Source organism: Homo sapiens, chromosome 1, assembly GCF_000001405.40.
Source record: "Homo sapiens chromosome 1, GRCh38.p14 Primary Assembly".
Taxonomy (NCBI): Eukaryota; Metazoa; Chordata; class Mammalia; order Primates; family Hominidae; genus Homo; species Homo sapiens.
This window is the reverse complement of record NC_000001.11, coordinates 206,545,768-206,565,551: the sequence shown is the minus strand read 5'-3', so window position 1 is coordinate 206,565,551 and position 19,784 is coordinate 206,545,768. Positions and strand designations below refer to the sequence as shown.

Genomic DNA, 19,784 nt, shown 5'->3' with positions numbered 1-19,784 from the left:
TACAGAAACCCCATCTCATCCATCTTTATGTCCCCCACCTGTGGTGCTCAGTGCTATAGGAAAGTTAAAAACACAACATTCTGACTGAGGCCAGGTGCTGCAGAGTTTGGACGCTGTACTAAAGAGGGAGAACCAAGTATGGGCTTCACTCCGGAAGGAAAGGGAACCTGGGAAAATTTTGGGATATGGGAAAAATAAGCCCTTGGCAGTTGTAGGCAGGATACACAGAGGGGAAAACACAGGATTGAAACTGCAGGGTAACTGACTTACTGGGGCATCTCAGTGAGAGGCTATGAGCAGCCAACACAGGGTGAGGCGGGGACAGAGAGGAGAGGCCTGACCTCTGCAGCACTGCGGGGACAGATGGGGTGAATAGAAGAGGTGAAGACCCCTGAGGTATTGAAGGTGGGGGACTAGGAGGGTGGGGCAGAGACAGAGAAATAAATGAGTTATGAGTTGGTTCTGGACATACTAAATTTAAGGTATCTGAGACCTCCAGGAAGCTGTAGAAAATGCCATTCTAGAGCTAGGAAGAGAGGTGGGGCGAGGGATGTAGGCTGGAGAGTGATTAGCTAAAGCTGGGATGCTGTGGGAGAAGAGGGGAGATGAGCCCCCAGGACAGAAGCCTTCTGTGAACAGAAGCCACAGGCTCAGCAATTCAAGCCTGAAGCTGTCTGTCAGTGCAGCTCTTTTCTTCCTCCTGGCCCTGAAATCAAGTGCTCCTGATTCGTGGCACTTTATCTCATCCTCTTGTCTCTGGAAAATATGCCAGGCTAGGTCTGGATCCCCACCCCATGCTCTTTGAGGTAGACTAAACCATGAAGAAGAAGAAACCAAGGACCTGCAGGACAGGTCTCAGTTCCCCACCCAGGGAGCTCCCAAAGCCAGAAGATACACAGGTGTGGGGTACCTGGTAAGTGAAGAGCAGAAGAGAAGAGAATCGAGGTCCCCAAGCTAGGACCCCTTCAAGCTCCTAGGCTGGGAGTTGGATCCAAAGCCTGATCTGACAGTGTGCAATAAGACCTGGGATTCAAGGTTTGATACTGGCATAAAATCTTTCTTCTTTTCTCCCTAAACTGCTTGGGTGGGTGGATATTATGTGTCCCAAACTGTAAGTGAAATTGCTTTATAGGGAAAAGCTGATTCTGGATAAACTATCTAAACCTGTGAAGACAGAAGGAGGGCAGGAGGGGAGGAACCAGAACAGAGAGTGAGGGATGGCCTGGACTAAGCGGCGTGTGAACAAGGATGTCTTGGGTGAGTTCCAGGTGGTCCTGGAGGAGGTCGTCTCTCTGACCCCTCCCTAGGGGAAGTCCTTATGGTTTAGAGAACTTGGCAGCCAATATCTAGAATCCCTACCAGGCCCATGAGAAACTAGTAAAAAGGGTCTGTTCCCATGCAAAGAGGCAAGGGACTCTCAGCAGGGAAGATAAGGACACTCACATGACAAGGGTGTTTGTTGAGAAGGACAGGATGAAGTACCTGAGTCTGATGATTGAAATGACTTGGCCATAACCTCTTAGTGGCTTGAGCTGGATGGGAAGGGAGGACTTCATTTACAGTTAGTGCTGTGTGTCTTCCCTTACATCATGTGCCATCAAGATCTCAAAGGGCCTTGAAATAAGAGTTCAGCTTGTGGTGATGAGACTAGCAGAGAAAGCTCTGAGCAGGACCCAGGGGGCCTGACTCCTTGAATCTGTCTCTACTGAGCTGTGTGACTGGGGGCAAATCCTCTTCCCTCTCTAGACTTCAGTTTCCAGCCTAGGAACCTCTTAGGAATCTGTGACACATTCTCTTCTTGCATTCCAATTGGGGTAAGCAGTCAATTACCAAATATTTCCTAAACAGGTGGTTCCTAGATTGCAGCATATATGAGAATCACCTGGGAAAAGTATTAGAAAAGCAGAATCCAGGGTCCCATCTCCAAAGATTCAGGAGCCAGTAGCTCTGGAGTAGGGCCCCTGAAACTCCATTCTCAAAGAGTAGTTCTGGTGCAGGTGGTTGAGGCCACCTTGATGCAACACTGAAGGTTTCAGATGCTACAGAGAAACCAGAGAAGTGCTGAGTGAGGAAAAGCACCCGTCCTCAAGAGATTTCCAGTTTAGATGGGGGAGACAGGACCCAATCCCAAGAACAGAATATCCTCAGTGACAGATGAGAGAGAGGTACAAGGTCAAAGAAACAGGTCATGTCCTTTACCAAGCAGTTATGAGCAGAGCTTCCCAGGTGCCTGGCGCAGAAACGGTGGCAGGAGGCATGTGTGGCAGAGACAGCTAAATGCTCACCACAACCTGCTTCCTTTTCTACCAGGGCTCACAGCTGTACTTCACTTCCCAACCTCCCCTGTGGTTAGGTGTGGCCACGTGACTGAGTTCCAGCCAATGGCCCGTGGTTGCAAGAAACACCCACCATTTCCGGGTCTGGCCCACAAGCTTCCCATGTGTTATCCTGATCCCCACCTGCCAATCTAACTTTTTTAAGTAAAGGGGGAAATAAACCTCTGATTATATTCAATGACTGAAAAGCAGGGGTTGTTTCAAGTTAGTCCATCCTGATTGTACAGGATGCAAGAGAGAAGATGCAGCAATTCAACCCAAGCAGTATTTGGTCAATACTGGCTTTTTTTTTTTGAGACAGAGACTCGTTCTGTCGCCCAGGCTGGAGTGCAGTGGCACGATCTTGGCTTACTGCAAGCTCCGCCTCCCGGGTTCACACCATTCTCCTGCCTCAGCCTCCCAAGTAGTTAGCCTGCCACCACGCCTGGCTAATTTTTTCTATTTTTCAGTAGAGATGGGGTTTCACCAGGTTAGCCAGGATGGTCTGGATCTCCTGACCTCGTGATCCGCCCGTCTCGGCCTCCCAAAGTGCTGGGATTACAGGCATGAGCCACCACGCCCGGCCAATACTGGCTTTTGTAACCAAGTACTTGATGTTGTTGGACCTGAAGGAGATGCGAGTTCTGATCTTATAGGACGGACAATACTGGGAAGGGCCAGAGGAGGCAGCGGGCAGTGAATCCCACGAGTGTGGAGTTCGGACGGCATCTCTAAATGAGGCTATCTGGAGGCTGTGCCAGTCTGAAATCTCTTCTGGGACTAGTCTTGGGCCATGTAAGCCTTTGAGACAGCACATAAAAAACAGTCAAATGGGCCAGTGGTTCCAAAGATTCTAGTTTTATTTTTATTGCTGAAATTTGGAGCTAACTTATTTTTAGTAATCTTTTCTTTTCTCTCATGCCGAGGTGGTGAGGGGCAGGTGCCATGCCTGAGGCCTGGGTGTGCCTGCTGCTAGCAGAGAGATGGGGACCTCCCCAACTGTCCCAGGGCTGTGGGGTTGGCTAGTGCCCCTGGAGTACCACAGGGATCCTGTCCAGGGAGGAGCTGACTGGCCAGGCAGGAGGAGATGGAACAATTACAGGCAGGGAACAGGGAGCAGTGTAGGATCTGACCTCCAGGACCCTCTTCCTCTTGCATCTTCCTTGAAGAAAAAGAATTCAATGGTGTCACTGTAGACCCAAGAAAGCCTAGGCAGATGGGGGCATGGGAGTGTGTTTTCTATGTACTTAAGTATAATATTTAACTATAGGCCGGGTGCGGTGGCTCACTCCTGTAATCCCAGCACCTTGGGAGGCCGAGGTAGGGGTTCACCTGAGGTCAGGAGTTCAAGACCTGGCCAACATTGTGAAACCCTGTCTCTACTCAAAAAAAAAAACACAAAACTTAGCTGGGTGTGGTGGTGGGTGCCTGTAATCTCAGCTACTCAGGAGGCTGAGGCAGGAGAATTGCTTGAACCTGGGAGGCAGAGGTTGCAGTGAGCCGAGATCGCGTCATTGTACTCCAGCCTGGGCAACAAGAGCAAAACTCCATCTCAAAAAAAAAAAAAAAAAAAGAAAAAGAAAAATATTTAACTGTAGATATAGTCAACCTTCTGTTCTTTGTATCCACAGAGAAAAACACACATGAGGAGGAGTCTCCAGTGGGAAGATAGAGGTTTATCTATTAACATATTTCAGTTGTAGGATAGACACCAAGAAGAACTTTTAAGTCACTAAAGTTGTAAGATTACAGGGACTACCTGCTAAAATCAAGTGTAGGGTCAATGTCCCCTTAGCTAGCATGCCTTAAGGAATGGAGGGATGGGAAGGACCTTTCAAAACCTGACCCAGCCTGAAGTTGAGTGTTCCATTTTGTAGAAGGTTCTGAGAGGACAAGACCTACGGTCTATCCTGGGTCATCTACTGAGTAGGAAAAGACCAAGAAGAAGAGAACTTGACAAGGAGTCCTGGAGGGGTGTTAGTCCTGGCTCTACCCAAACAGATGTGTGGCCTAGTGACGTCCTTCCACCTCTCTGGGCCTCAGTTTCTCCATCTATAAAGCGAGGTGCTCTGACATTCTGCAAGCAGAAAGCTGTATTGTCCTCAGAGCACTCACCCCAATGCTCTGGGCCGGTGCCAGAGTCCTGGGGTCCCAGAGCCTGTTTAACATGCCAAGAGTTCAGAACGCCTGTGTTCCCGCTCAGATGTCAAAGCCTTAAATGGCCACCACCTGTAGGCATTTGGGAAATTGATAAGAATGGAAGCTGGCCCCACTTCCAGGGTCAGATCCCTGATAGGAAAAAAATGAACAAATATGAGGGATGGACAGAGGGCCTGGCCTGGCTTCACAGTCACCAGTCCTACAAATCACCAAACCCTATCTTTTGTGGGACTAAGGAAGAAAATTCTCTGGCCTGGGAGGCAAAAGAGGGAAGTTCTAACCTTGGGTCCATCAAAACCTTGTCTTGTGACCTGATAAGTCCCCCTACCCATCTAGGCAACACCTTAGATTGAGGTAACTATGATGGTCTTACTGAGACCATCTACGTCTGCACTGCCCAAGCCCACAGGCTGGCTCTCCCCCAGGCCCCATTTGTGACATGCCTGACCCAGAGAAACACGATCTAATTGTGCCTAGCCAAGTGGGAAAGTACCAGGAGAGTACTGCCTCAGCCTCCTAAAACTGTGGTATGATTCAAAACCAAGTCCCCGGCCCCTCTCAAAGGAGGCACGTGGCCCCAGGAAACTGCCATTTTCTGAAAAGAGAGACCAAGCTAGGGCCCAGGGCCTGGTGCCCCCATCTCCCTTGCTGTCTCCTGACCTTTAGGCACCCCCTTCCTATGAAATGGGGAGACCTTTCCCACCCCTCCGACCTCTTCCCAAAGGGCATTGGAGAGGAGTCTTGGGAACTCCTGGGACTGACCAGTGGCAACTCCCAGGTGGTGGCATCGCACAGCAGTGAGGCTTCCCTGAAGCTCTGTTCTAGCCAGGCACAAACTGAGCAGCCACACAGGTTGTTCTGACAAGGCTATTTATAGAAGCAAGCTCAGCCCTTCCCAGATGAGGGCCTCAATCTCTCGACGACCGGGAAACACATCAACTCCTTTCCTTGGAGACAGGAAAAAGAAATTCTCTTAGGAGCTCAAGCGTGATCTCTCTTTGGGTAAGAATAAAAGCACTGTAAGAGGTCAGAATGGGGTCAGAATATGGCAGAGCTCTTTAAAACCCTTTCCAGAAGTGATCCAAGGGAGAAAAGAGAGTGGAAAAGTGTCATTGAAGGTAAAAAGGCACCTAGAAGAATGAAAGACTGAAACCTTTGGAGGACGCGTCCCCAGCTCAGCCTGCCTCACCCTCCTCAGTCCACCCCTGCACTTGCTCACCCAGCCCTGCCCCTCCCTGGAGAGTTCTGTGCTGAAGGCCAGCCTCGTGCTGAGGAACACTGTCCCTGACCTGAATATCCAGTCAAGATGCTTCCCGTAAGGATAAGAGGGGCCGTGCCCACCACCCTGAAGCATTTATCCCTGATCACCCTCTCTGGGGTTCAGTAAAAGGAGTTTCTTAGAAGGGATTCCTGTCTTCTGAGGGCTTACAGACTCCAGCAAAATGACACAGGAAGATATACAGAGGCCTCAAGATACAAGGTGGATTCAAGACACAAAGTACAGGAAGTGTTTCTGCAGGGACCAAACCAAAGGTGTATTTTCTGGAGGCAGGTGAGGAAGGAGAACTGGGGGGAAGAAGGGAGAGAGATGGCTGTTCAGGCCATGGAGCAAGCCATCCCCCACACCAACCCCATCCCAGTGTATTTTCTTATAGGATATTTCTATTCCTCCCAAGAAATATCAGAAACGGTTATCTTTTCCACTGCCAAGTAAAAGAAACCCCATCTTTGCAGTGCCTCTTCCTCACCTAATTATGCAAAAATCTCACCCTCTGAAACTGAGGGCTTGCAGCCTAGCTGGCAGTGAGAGGCAGGCACAGCACCTAAACTTTGGTTTAAAAACAGGAACCATTTCCTTCCCAGGCAGCAACAAAACACTCTAGAGAAATAGTTCAAAACCTCAACTGTATATCAGAATTACCTGGGGGGCTTTTCAAAATCCTGATGCCCAGGCTGTACCCCAGGCCATTTAAATCAGGTGCTCTGGGCATGGGAACCAGGTATCACCAGTATTTTCTAAAGCTTCCTGTGAATCCAGTGTGTAGCTAAGATTGATAACCACTGGTCTAAATACCTAGCTAGCTGGAGTATCTGTGGGGATTTGGGGGACTTATACCACGCGGCAAGAACCCCACGGGAGGGTGGGACACCTCCCCTCTGCAGCCACGGTGTTCTGCAGGAGCCCCACCTACAGCCAGGGAAAGGGACGCCTGTCCCTTTGCCCCTCACCCTCTGGAACATCCCCTGCTCTCCAGCCTCATGAGTGGTGCCCTGGAAAACAGGTGCTAGTTACAGGGGCCTATTTTAGTTGACTCCTTCAAACATAAAATCACAATCTCTTCTTTGGTTCTTGGGCCTCTTCTCACAATTGGAAGGTACAGTATATTTGCCTGACTTCAGAATCCAGGAAAGGCAGAGCCTACAGGCAAGATGAATTATTAACAAAGGAGGCCTCAGAGTCAGGCCTGGGGAAGTTTTTGGTTAATTTGAATTGGTGTAGCACTGCTGAATTAATGATGAGCCTGCCACACACCTGCGAAATATAACAGCTCACTTCTGTCTATAAACCAGCCCCTTCTAGGTAACCTCTCTAAGGACCTGGCTTGGAGCCCTCTCATCTAAGTAGCAAAACAAATAAACAAACTCAGCTTTACCTCCACTCCCACCAAGATACTGACAGACACGAGGCCTGCAGCCAACTAGGAGAGTGGCCAGGGCACCCAGGCTTGCTGGGTGTCTAGAGGCGGACACCTTTAGGAAATACAAGTCATGCCATCAGGAAACACACGCAAGCCCCTTCAGGTTACCCAAACCGACCCAGGAAGTTAAAGTGGTAGCATGACAGCAGCCTAGGCCAGAAGTTTTCGTCTGCTTCTAAAAACACCCTGGACTTCTGCAAAGTTGCTGGATTACGACTTAAGGTGGTTTCTGGCCACTTCAAATACGGAAGTCCCAACCGATGAATGTGTGTTTATGAATGTTTATCAACTGATGAATGTTTATCTTATTGTGGGATTGGGTGGCATTCAGTTTCCACCTAGAACTTCTAAGCTAGGATTTGGGGAGGGGGTGCGGTTATGAGACCGTGCACTCAGGCACAGGTGAACCTGCAGCCAATCTACCAGCCAGGGGCAGCCCCCACATTCTGGAGAGCCATTTTGAAGAGATCTGTGGATGGAACCGCTGTGAGGAGGGCTGACCAACTGAATAGTGCAGGTCCCTGAAGGGCTCCAGATACGATGCTCAGCCCTCAGGGCAACTGCCTGGCCACTTTCCTGACATGTGGCTTTGTCCCTTTGCTGGGAGCAAGGTTTCCCTTCTAGATTGACCACAGAGGTTATTTCCCCCCACGAAAGGCTCCTGCATTCCATTATTATGTTTACCTTTGAAAGATGTTTGCTCTGCGCATTTCTGAAAAAGGTAGTCTTAGCAGTGAAGAAGCAGTCTTCCAGTTCCTCGTCCAGGCTGCAGTACCCACTGCTCATGCTGCTGTCCACGGTCATCTACCCCGGAGTTCCCGGCCGAGGCCGCCAGCGCATCAAGGGGGCCGGGCTTGGGATGCGGCGGAGGGAGGTGGGCACCCCTCCCCGGGCTCCGCTTGGCGTAAGCCCCTAGCTCTGAGCCCCGAGCCGGGAGCTGGTCGGGTAGCGGACCAGGCAGAGCCGGCGGGCCGCCTGCGTTTCTTTCAGCGGGGTGCGAGCGCTCGGGCGGCCCGGTAACCTGCTCCTGTCCCCGCGCCGCCTGCGCCTGCAGAGCCCCGGGCGCCCGGCTCGCGCCTCACTCCCTGACTCGTCCGGGCTCTGCGGTTTCGTGTCCCCGGCGCCAGCGCCCTCCCTCCGCCGCCGTGCAGAGCGCCATCTCCGCACCTCCCCCGCCTCCCGCGCCTTTCCTGCCCCTCGCGTAAAGCAGTTCTGAAGCCACTTCCTCTGCAAGGTTCCTCAAAGCCGGCTCGGCTGTCACTGCGCCCCTCCCCCGCCTCCCCGCCGCCTGGGTGCCACCCGCCCCCGGTGGCAAGTGGACTCAGGGAACTGCAGGTCATATAAGGGATGCAGGGAAAGAAGGGACCAGGATGGACCCGAGGGGGAACATTCCCTCTGTTCTTTCTTCATCATGCACTTGCTTCTGGAAAGAGCCCATTCTCATCAGCCCCGGTGACTCAGGTTCCACGGAGTAAAAGGTGCTAGCTATAAGGGCAACACCATCCCTCCTCCCTTCTCCCCCATCCACTTCCTCACCCCCACCCCCTCCCTCCCCCATTCGCTGGGTGGGGGAGCCGGGTCAATCGGAATGGTTAGAGAAGAAAAAAATCAATATCTGCCCTGCCTGGGGAAACAGCAATATTTTAAGTTGGAAATGCCAGAAGAAACTGCAGGGTCACCACAAACACATGCAAATCAGATGCAGAGTTATGGCAACCTAGAGAGCAAGCTGCCTTCCCACCCATAGAACTTGGCCCTCAGGAAGCCTCAGGATACACAGGAGCCTGCAGACACTGTCCAGGTCATCTGTGTATCTTCCGGATAGTCTGAGAAAGAGGGGTCTTGGCCTGATCTTGTCATTCCTAACATTGAGAAGGGCTCATTTATATTTTCCCATCTGACTGGACAAAGGAACACATAGGGCTGAATCCTTCAAAGCAGTTAAGACAATTACCCCACAATAGATCAATAGCAGTTCTAGCTACCATTGTTTGAACAACTCTCTGTGCAAGTGATTTACGTGCACTCTATCATTGACTCATTCCAATAGCCTTGAGACAGAGACTGTGTACAGATGAGAAAAGTAAGGCTCGGAGTCACACAGGTAGAACACGTGTGCTGGGACTCAGCCCTGGTGTGTGCAGCTGCCTACGCCCCAGTCACTGTCATGTACAGACCCTCAGCAATGATGAGGCTATTTGGGTGGGCACTTTGCCATCTTTAAATACAGTGGGGGCTGGAGTCCCGGCAGGGAAACTGCCTTCAGAGGCCTGGCTTTGCTACCATGTTCATGGAGTCTGATGGCTCATGGACCCCGGAGGGCCCTGGACTGTGGCTGAGAGGGGTTATCAGGTCTCTCTCCAAATCTGTGTAGCTTTTCCTACAGTTCTGAAACAATCCAGTCCTGGGGAAACATAAGCTGGGTGGAGGACTAGACTCAGCCCCCCGGACACCAAGCTGCCAACTCCATCTTAAGCTCTGGCTACCTTCATGAGAAACCCTCTCCCTCTCCCACCTAAGCCAAATCCGTCAGTGCTCGGGAAGGTTTCAAACTGCAGCCCAATTTGGCTTCATCCTCCCACACAGTCTTCTTCCCAGAAGCCTGCGAGTGCCTGGCAGGCACAAAAACAAGAGAGCTGAGAGTCAGCACCCCAGCCGGCTGGCCGCCCTCGGTGCAGGAGAACTGTCAATACCAGTAGCTGTCTTCTCTGGCAGGCAGATAAGAGGAGGGAGACGGTCAGCACCCGGGGCTGGGGTGAGCTACCGGGTGTTTGCAGGGGAAGATCTCACATTAATGGGGGTGAAAGTAGGTTCTGGCTTTGTCTGGAGCAATCTTTTTTTCAAATTTTAGAGGCTGTTTGGGGGGTTTCCCCCAGAGAGGTGGTTTCCTGTGATCCTTGGGCCATCAATAACAGCTCACCTGCTTTGTCCAGCCAGCTAAGAAACATGCTTTTCTTCATAAAAAGAACCTCCTTGCTCAGTGGGAATCTAATACTTAAGAAAAAAAAAACAGGCCCCAGATTCTCTGTGGCCACACTGTGTCCTTGGATTCATGCCGGGAAGCTCTGCAATGCAACCTTCACATACAGCTAATAACAACCTATTCAAACACCAAGCCAAGGTACCCCAGGAGTCAGCATGAATCTCTCCTTAGAAGCAGCACACCAGATGCCAGACCTGGTTAGGAAAGTTCTCAGGGACACTGTGTTCTTTTAGGGTACTGCTCCCTGCCATTCCAAACCTTATGAAAATCTGACATCTGAATAGGGTCTTTCAAACCTTTTTAACATCCATTATTTCCCCCAGGCTACTCTTTTATCCTAAGAGCAGGTACTATGCCCATTTTATAGATAAGGAAACTGAGGGAAGTAACTTGTTCCATCACAGCTCATTACTTTCAAAGCCTCTTGACTTCTAGTTAATGTCTCTTTCCCTACCCTGTCCCAGCTGTCAGTGAATCTAGGTTGGGAAGAAAGCCATGTGTAAGAAGTCAGCAAAACAGAGACTGTGCTGGCAGGGACTTTAGGACTAGAAGAAATATACAAAGATCATATATAATATACCAAAGTTGGCCAGCCTCCAGGAGGAAAAATCCAGACTGAAGCCCCAGGGTCTCAAAGGAAGGAAGACAGGACTCCCTGAAGCATCTAATGGCCCTGTCTGAACCTCTGGACCTCTTCCCTATGAATAATCAATAATAGTGATAGCTTGGCCAGGGTAAGAGGGAGGGGGCATGGAAGAGTCTGAGCAAGAGCCTTTAAGGCCCTGAGATGTGATCGCACAAAGGATGGGAACTGGCTATTCTTGTCCCTGGACTTAGGAAGAGGAGGCTGGATCTAAAGCTGTAGCAGCCAGAGCCCTAAATCCATGGCGTCGTGCTGGGGTTCAGAAAGCCCCATTGAAATGATGAATGGGCCACTTTCCTAACTCAAAGTGTTAGATGATGAAAGACATTATTTTAAGCTTTTTTCCTTTCTCAGATACAATCCTGTCATGTGGCCAGATCCTCTTGTAAGATCCACCCTGTAGTTCTGCATGTACCAGAAAAGCTGTGATACAGGACTGGAAGTCAGGAGCTTGTATTCTAGTCCCAGCTCCAACTCCAGCTTGATATGGTATCTTGAGCAACTATGGACATCAGGTTTCCTCAACTATCCAGTTGAAGGGTAGCAGCAGTGGAGATCAGATTTAGGGCCTTATGACCTTATGATCAGATGTAGTGGCATATAGAGAGGCTGAAAACCAGGGCAAGGTGCCACCGCACCCCTGAGACATATTTTGAAATCACCGTTAGCTAGTATGTGCAGGCACTGTACTAATAATTTGTTCATAATTTCATTTAAGCCCTACAACAAACCTATGAGGAAGCTACAGTTATTATCTATATTTTACAGAAAGCAAAAGGAGGTTAAGGCAAGTGAAGTTACTTGCACATATCCACACTGTTAGTTAATGGTGGAGCCAGATATCAATTCCGCTGGGTCTGACTCCAGAACCCAAGTCCTTGAACTCTATACTCTGCGGCCTCATGGTTTACCTCTGTGATTACTCTCATAATAACCACATGCCTGAAATTATAGTCCATTACAAACAAGTTAGGAACCACTTTCTCCATCTGACTATGCCCCCGTCTTCCTTTCAGCTTCCTGGGGTCTTCTCTTCTCCCCCTGTGTACCCCTGCTCTCCTTGGGGGGTAAGTCTCACCTATGCCACTGGTATCAACCACACCTAACAGACTCAGGGCTCATAATTCTTTCTCTCCCAGGTATCTCCAGGTGGGTACCTGTAACAGCTCACTGAGTACCCAGCCCTTCCTATTGGAGTTTCACTCTTAACAGGGTCAAGATTGAGTTTGTTATTCCCTCCCTTGTCCGCTACCTGCTCCTTCTTTTCCTCCCGTAGTATTTCCTGTCTTGATGAGTGCCATTAACTGAGATTAGTGCAAAGCCTTCCAAGAGTTCCCCATGTTTCTATCTCTGCCTCCTCCAAACCCCCTACCTTTTTATTGCCACAGTTACCCTTCTGAGATGAAGATCTGATCATGGTACCATAACAACTTCCATTCAGATTTCAACAAAAAATTATTGAATAATTACTATGTATCAAGTTCTACTTGCTTATTCTTTCTTTCACTTAGCAAATATTTACTGAGCCCTTTTCTTGTTTTTTGTTTTTTTTGACAGTGTCTTTCTCTGTCACCCAGGCTGGAGTGCAGTGGCGCGATCTCATCTCACTGCAAGCTCCACCTCCCAGGTTCACGCCATTCTCCTGCCTCTGCCTCCTGAGTAGCTGGGACTACAGGCGCCCGCCACCACACCCGGCTAATTTTTTGTATTTTAGTAGAGACAGGGTTTCACTGTGTTATCCAGGATGGTCTCGATCTCCTGACCTCGTGATCTGCCTGCCTCGGCCTCCCAAAGTGCTGGGATTACAGGTGTGAGCCACCGCGCCCAGCCTTACTGAGCACTTTCTTCAGGCAAGCACTAGACTGAGTGTCTGAGTTTGGGCATGAATAAGACACAGTCCCTACCTTCTAATAATATACAGTCTAGTGAGAACAACATTGAATAAGACGGTCTACTAAAGTTACTGAATGAAAGTTACACATTTCATTATCTCACTTAATCCTCAGAACCCTGCAAGAAGGTATTTTGCAGATGAATGAACTGAGTTTCAGAGTAAACTCGCCCAAGCAAGTAAATGGTAGAATCAGATTCAAACCCAGAGCCCCTGTAACTTTCCATTACAATTGTCCTTTCTCCACCGACTCCCGCCACCTATTCCAAACTCTTGAGCAGGTCCTTCAAGACCCTTCACGGTGCACACCCAGCCAACAGTTCACACCCATCTCCAGGTGCAATCAAGCAACCCTCATTACAGCTGCACAAAATTCGATCCACATTCCCAGAAGCCACCCTTCCCTCTTGTGGCTTAGCTCTTGCTATTCTCTCCTCTGATGTCAAAATCCTCCTCCTATGTCCTCCCCACTTCCTGACACATATTCCCCAATATCATCCATACCTCCCACACCTTCCATCTGACTCTGAGAAGCATCCTTAACCAGATGTCCTATCTGGGTTGAATCTTAAGATGCTGCCATCCCTAGGGTAGCAATTTTCAGCATTCAATGGCTGTGTACAGCAGAGAGCTCGGTGTCTCCCCAGATGACTTCCTGTTGTAAGAGGTGAGTGGTGGCACACCATTTAGGTTAGACTCACCCTACAGTCACTTTCTCAGCGGTGCTAACCCACACCACACTTCTGATTGGCTGCCAGGCTAACAGCTTCGATAGGCCTTGACACTGAACCTACTGAAGATAGCTGAGTTACCCCAGTTGTCCACACCCTCAAGAACTCATGTCAGGGTCTGAGTCAGGCCCAAGGGCTCTGTCTTCTAATTTTCCTCCCTAGTGAGAATACAGAGTGACAAAAGCTATTTCTGATCAACAGCCGTCTCCCTGATGTGCCCCTCTCTGGGCAGGGCCAATCCTCCAACATCCCGGGCAGCATGGTCACCAGGGTGAGATGTGAACAACTATTGCACTGCTACATCTAGCAAGGAGGGTCTTGCCTCTCGCCTCAGGGCTAGCCTAGCCCACCTGGGGGTCATCTCAGGAAGCCCACTGCTTCTAGGGTAAAAGGGGATAGGCTGTGAAGAGCCCAGAGAAATGTCTCCAGGGTTTAAGGATTTCTAGAGAAATATGCACCAGAGCTCTGTCCCTCCTTGTGGCCAGGACTTCAGGTGCCTCCTTTTTGGGAAGCATTTCCATTCTGCCTAATCAGAAATACATTGGCGTGGGCTGGGCCCATCTGGGGCTGGTCAGATAGGCCTTGGAGAGGCTCCTGTGAGGGCGGCTGTCCAGTGCAAAGGAATCACTGACAGCTTTGGCCAGCACTTCTGGCTTCTAAAGTGTGGCAGGAGTCTGTGAAGGAGCCATGGAGAAAGCTGTCCCAGATGGGACGGCCTAGCCAGGGTAAGAATGAAGGATGTCCGCTCAGGGTAACGTGGAGGGAGCGGGGGACTGGCTCCTTCTCTTGGCAGATATAGGTGGGCTGGTGTGCATCTGGCACCTCTAGAATCCCCTGGGAGCAGCCATTAGCTTCTTATCAAGGGAAGGAGTCAGAATAGAAGAAATCAGTGCCAAATTTGGGGTTTGGAAGCTAAGGAAATACTGACTGAGGGACTAGGTGGGGTCTAATGTATTCTGCTCCCCACCCTCACATCTACCAGGAAAGATTAGATGTGGGACCCTAGTTTCTGACTTTCCTGACATTCCTGCCATGTCAACTAAAGGTGGTGAGTTCCTCTCATTTCTGGTGGCCACAGAATAACAAAAGATTCTGTCAATATCAATTGATTGCTAGATCATAAAGTTATTAAGCTATAGAAAGCCAGATTTTAGAGCTGGGAGCGCTAAACTTGCTCCAAGATGGCAGAAAGGGGCTGTCAGCAGCCTTAGGACTGGGTAGCAGGGCAGGCACATGGATTTGTGCCTGTGTGCTCAGGGTACAACACAAAATCCCCATTTTGGAGCGTTACCATATTTTAAGATGCTGAGAGCAGCATTGTTCACACCCATAGCTATCTTGAGGATAATGTGTCTACAGAGGGCAAGCAGCCTGCTGGGCTGAAGGCTCTAAAACACCATAGGGGCAAGGGAAACTATGTTATTTGCCAGTCCTATTATATATATTCCTTGTGGTAGGTGCTGGGAACACACTGGTAAACAAACAAGGTTCATGCTCCATGGAGTTTACAAGTGCTTTTATACAGTTGCCACAACAACCACACTGGTGTCCCCATGTAATAGCTAAGAGAGGTTATGTACTTTCCTAGTGTCATAATAAGTGGGAGAACCAGCATTCTGAATGCAAAAAACCTCCACAAATCCAAGTTCAAAATCGAATAAAATGAAGGACTTCTTCAGCACCTACTATGTGCAAGGCCCAGTGCATTATGAGGAAGACTAAATGGCAAAAGATAGGATCCCTGCCCTCAAGGCATTTACCCAATGCGTAAGGCTGGGTATTAAATGAACTAGTACGAATCAGGATTAGAACAGTGCCTGGGGGAGTTCTGCTTCTGGCAAAGATGAGGGAATAGGATTCAGATATATCCTCCTGATTAAAACAACCAAAAAAATGGATACAACTAATGAAACAGTGGTTTTTAAAATACTGGCTATCAGGTAATGAGGAATAGCAATCCCCGAGACACAGGAAACAAATGAGTTGATCCCTAGATTTACTCCCAGTTTACTCCCAGATGTGGTGCAGAGCGGGTACTAAGGTGGAGCCTGGAAAACCCCCTGAAGCTGAGGAGATGCTGCTCGAGTCTAGGGAGACAAAGGCAGCCCGAGTTCACAGGACAGAGTAACTGAATGGAGACAGCTGCAGAGAGAGAGAACTGCAGAAAGGCCCCTATAGTATTCACCTGCGTGCTTACTGATCGGTGTGTGCATGGGAAGAAATGACCCAAGGCTAGAGAAAGAACCGCCCAAAAGGATTACAGGTAACAGTGTCTGCCCTCATACAGGGCAGGAATAGTGCCTGTTCCTACAAGCCATACCAGAAAACCTCATGATTTATTAGGCACTGAGTAGAGTACACAGAGAGTCTTACCTTAGTGGTGGGAAATAATTAGCCCTAGACTGAGGACTATTCCAATCCTGACAAATCTTAAAGAGGCTCTTAAAACCTTAAAAAGGATCGAACTTCTAAGTAATTTAACTGGGTCCTAGAACAAAACTCAGGAATATTTCCACAGGGCTGGGTGCAGTGGCTAATGCTTGTAATCCCAGGACTTTGGGAGCCTAAAGTGGGAGGATCACTTGAGGCCAGGAGTTCAAGACCAGCCTGGGCAACTTAGTGAGACTCTGTCTCGACTACTGACCACAACTGACACAGATATTAGCATTGGTCAAAGACACTAATTCTGGTGTCTCAGGCAGCCCACTGCTTCTAGGGTAGAAGGGGATAGGCTGTGAGGAGCCCAGAGAAATGTCTGAATAAGTATATGCTATTTATTCAAAAAGTTAAGTAGGAGAAATGGAAAATATTTAAAAGATCCACATCAAACCACTAGAGTTGAAATTTACAATGCCTTTGATGGGAAATATACTAGATGGGGATTAATGGCAGATTAGACTTTGCAGAAGAAAAGATTAACAAACTTGAAGACACAGCAATAGCAATGATCCAAAATGAAGCACAGGCCAGGCATGGTGGCTCACACCTGTAATCTCAGCACTTTGAGAGGCCAAGGTGGGTGGATCACCTGAGGTCAGGAGTTCGAGACCAGCCTGGCCAACATAGTGAAACCCTGTCTCTACTAAAAATACAAAAATTAGCTGGGAGCGTTGGCAGGCACCTGTAATCCCAGCTACTTGGGAGGCCAAGGCAGGAGAATCACTTGGACCCAGGAGACAGAGGTTGCAGTGAGCCGAGAACGCGCCATTGCACTCCAGCCCGGGCAACAGAGCGAGACTCTGTCTCAAAACAAAATAAAACAAAACAAAATGAACCACAGAAAGAAAAGAGAATTTTTTAAATGAACAGAGCAGTAAGCTGTGGAACGAATTCAAGCAGTCTAATATACATGTAAGTGGTATCCTCAGAGTGGGGGGGTATGAAAATATTTGAAGAAATAATGCCCCCAATTTTTCCAATTTTCGTGAAAACTATAAATCCACAGATCCAACAAACTCAATGAACACCCAGTACAAGAAACATAAAGACAAGTACAAAAGGCACATTGTAACCAATTGCTCAAAACCAGTGTGATACAGTTTGGATATCTGTCCCCTCCAAATCGCATGTTGAAATCTGACCCCTCATGTTAGAGGTGGGGCCTGGCGGGAGGTGTCTAGGTTGAGGCGGCAGATCCCTTATGAATGTCTTGGTGCCCTCCCCATGGTAATGAGCATCTCGTATTGTTCCTTCATGTGAGAGCTGGTTGTTCAAAGGAGCTTGGCGCCTCCTCCTCTCTCTCTGGCTCCCTCTCTCACCATGTGACATGCCTGCTCTCCCTTCACCTTCCGCCATGAGTAAAGCCTCCTGAGGTCCTGATCAGAAGCCAAACAGATGTTGGTGCCATGCTTGTACCGTCTGCAGAACCATGAGTCAAACTCTGTTCTTTATACATTGCCCAGTCTCAGGTATACCTTCATAGTAACACAAAACAGACTAATACATAGCGATAAAAAGAAAAAAGAAGAATATGTTATATACAGAGGAGCAGAGATAAAGATACCAGTAAATTTATTGTTAGAAATAATGCAAGTGAGGAGGTAGTGAAGCAACATCTTCAAAATAATGAAAGAAAAAAAGTGCCAACCTAGAAATTTCTATCCCATAAAAATCTCTCAAAAAGGAAGGTGAAATTAGAACTTTTTCAGACATGGAAAGTTGAAAAAACTCATCATCAGCACACCCACAAATACAAGAAATGTTAAAGAAAGTCCTTCAGGCAGAAAGAAAATGATATCGGATGGAAACCTGGATCTACCAGAAGAAAAAAAAGTACCAGAAATGGTAACCAAATGAATAAACAATTTCTTATCATTTAAATCTCTTTAAAATATAATTGGCCATTTAAATAAAATAGTAACAATATTGTAAGGGGCTTATAGCAGTGGTCCCCAACCTTTTTGGCACCAGGGACTGGTTTTGTGGAAGACAATTTTTCCATGGACTGGGGTGGGGCTGGTGGTTTGGGGATGACTCAAGTGCATTACATTTATGGTGCACTTTATTTCTATTATTATTACATTGCAATATATAATGAAATAATTATACAACTCACCATCATGTAGAATCAGTGGGAGGCCTGAGCTTGTTTTCCTGCAACTAGATGGTCCCATCTGGGGGTGATGGGAGACAGTGACAGATCATCAGCCATTAGATTCTCATAAGGAGCACGCAACCTAGATCCCTCGCATGCGCAGTTCACAATAGGGTTCAGGCTCCTCCGAGAATCTAATGCTGCCGCTGGTCTACAAGGAGGCAGAGCTCAGGCTGTAAAGCAAGCCATGGGGAGTGGCTGTAAATACAGATGAAGCGTGGCTTGCTCTCCAACTGCTCACCTCCTGCTATGCAACCTGATTCCTAAAAGGCCATGTGTGTGGCCCTGGGGGCTGGGACCCCTGGCTTGTAGTATATGCGAAAATAAAATACAGGACAAGAATGGTACAAAGGTCTGTAGATGAGAAATGGAAGGATACTATCATTTTTGTCTTTTCTTTTCTTTTTTAAAATTTTTTTTGGTATAAAATAGAGACAGGGTCTCACTATGTTGCCCAGGCTGGTCTCGAGCTCCTGGGCTCAAATGACCCTCCTACCTCAGCCTCCCAAAGTGCTAGGATTACAGGTGTGAGCCACTGTGCCTAGCCAGGGTTTTATACTATACATGACATGGCATAGTATCATTTGACAGGTAGACTGTGATGAGCTAAAGATGTACAGATGGTTCCCTCCTTACAACGGTCCTACTTATGATTTCTCAACTTTAAGATGGTGCTAAAGAGATGCACATTTGATAGAAACCATAATTTAGGTCAGCATTCAATAAATTACATGAGATATTCAACACTTCATAAGAAAATAGGTTTGGTGTTAGATGATTTTGCCCAATTATAGGCTAATGTAAGTGTTCTGATCACATTTAAGATAGGCTAGGGTAAGCCATGTTGTTTGGTAGGTTAGGTGTATTAAATGCATTTTTGACTTCAGGTATTTTCAACTTTCAGTGGGTTTATTGGGATGTAATCCCATAAATTAAGGACCATTTATATACTGTAAATGCTAAGACAACCATTAAAATAACAAAACAAAGGGTTAAAGCTTGTAGGCAACAAATGGGATAAAATGCAATCATAAAGTACATTCAAGTAGTCCAAAAGAAGGCAAGAAAGAAAAAAAGAAAAAGTGAACCAAGAACAGATAGAATACTCATAGAAAACCAATAGCTGGCCGGGTGCGGTAGCTCATACCCATAATCCCAGCACTTTGGGAGGCTGAGGTGGGAGGATCACTTGAGCCCCTGATCACTTGAGACCAGGCTGGGCAACATGGCGAAACCCGGTCTCTACGAAAAGTACAAAAAAGTCAGCCAGGTGTGGTGGTGCATGTGTAGTCCCAGTTCCTCGAGAGGCTGAAGTGGAGGATCACCTGAGCTTGGGGAGGTTGAAGCTGCAGTGAGCCATGATTGTGTCACTGCACTCCATCCTGGGTGACCGAATGAGATCCTGTCCCAAAAAAAAAAAAAAAAAAAAAAAAAAAAAAAAAAAAATAGAAAAAGAAGAAAGAAAAGAAAAAAAGTAGTAAGAAGATAGACTTAAAATCTAGCTATATCGTGAGCCGAGATCGCGCCACTGCACTCCAGCCTGGGTGACAGAGCAAGACTGTCTCAAAAAAAAAAAAAAAAATCTAGCTATATCAATAATCACATTAAATGCAAATGATCTAAATACTCAAAGGGTAGAGATGAGCAGATTGGTTTAAAAAAAAACAAGATCCAACTATTTGCTGCCTATAAGAAATGATCTTTAAATATAAAGAGACTCATAGCCTAAAAATGAAAGGGTAGATTAGGGAATGCCATGCTAATGGTA

The 19,784-nt window shown here is 47.9% G+C and overlaps 1 protein-coding gene and 1 long non-coding RNA gene across 4 annotated transcripts in view, besides 6 other annotated features; both read right to left on the bottom strand.

Annotated features, from left to right (window-relative positions):
- The window catches only part of RASSF5 (Ras association domain family member 5), an 81,918-nt gene that overhangs the window by 23,897 nt on the left and 38,237 nt on the right, over window positions 1-19,784 (bottom strand). The window contains exon 1 of one of the 3 annotated variants that reach the window (NM_182665.4): window positions 7,859-8,388. The exons of the other annotated variants lie outside the window; for them this stretch is intronic. Coding sequence (NP_872606.1) covers window positions 7,859-7,978 — 120 coding nt within the window. The 5' untranslated portion in view covers window positions 7,979-8,388. Of the gene's footprint in view, window positions 1-7,858; window positions 8,389-19,784 lie in introns of those variants that run through there. 3 annotated transcript variants of the gene reach the window in all.
- LOC124904494 (uncharacterized) lies at window positions 3,158-7,184 on the bottom strand. Its single transcript, XR_007066831.1, has 2 exons — window positions 5,238-7,184; window positions 3,158-4,544 (listed from the first exon to the last, which is right to left on the bottom strand). It is a non-coding gene; the product is annotated as an uncharacterized LOC124904494 (long non-coding RNA).
- Window positions 5,096-5,165: an enhancer, noted in NCBI's record as "active region_2406". NCBI's record gives its function as "activates an Ori minimal core promoter by ATAC-STARR-seq in GM12878 lymphoblastoid cells {active_cell/tissue: GM12878}" and the evidence as "EXISTENCE:reporter gene assay evidence [ECO:0000049][PMID:35858748]".
- Window positions 7,567-8,067: an enhancer, noted in NCBI's record as "H3K4me1 hESC enhancer chr1:206730813-206731313 (GRCh37/hg19 assembly coordinates)". NCBI's record gives its function as "activates a minimal SCP1, AML or CMV promoter by ChIP-STARR-seq in naive H9 embryonic stem cells {active_cell/tissue: H9 hESC(naive)}" and the evidence as "EXISTENCE:reporter gene assay evidence [ECO:0000049][PMID:30033119]".
- Window positions 7,692-7,941: an enhancer, noted in NCBI's record as "active region_2405". NCBI's record gives its function as "activates an Ori minimal core promoter by ATAC-STARR-seq in GM12878 lymphoblastoid cells {active_cell/tissue: GM12878}" and the evidence as "EXISTENCE:reporter gene assay evidence [ECO:0000049][PMID:35858748]".
- Window positions 8,092-8,431: a silencer, noted in NCBI's record as "silent region_1757". NCBI's record gives its function as "represses an Ori minimal core promoter by ATAC-STARR-seq in GM12878 lymphoblastoid cells {active_cell/tissue: GM12878}" and the evidence as "EXISTENCE:reporter gene assay evidence [ECO:0000049][PMID:35858748]".
- Window positions 8,452-8,521: a silencer, noted in NCBI's record as "silent region_1756". NCBI's record gives its function as "represses an Ori minimal core promoter by ATAC-STARR-seq in GM12878 lymphoblastoid cells {active_cell/tissue: GM12878}" and the evidence as "EXISTENCE:reporter gene assay evidence [ECO:0000049][PMID:35858748]".
- Window positions 13,282-13,331: a silencer, noted in NCBI's record as "silent region_1755". NCBI's record gives its function as "represses an Ori minimal core promoter by ATAC-STARR-seq in GM12878 lymphoblastoid cells {active_cell/tissue: GM12878}" and the evidence as "EXISTENCE:reporter gene assay evidence [ECO:0000049][PMID:35858748]".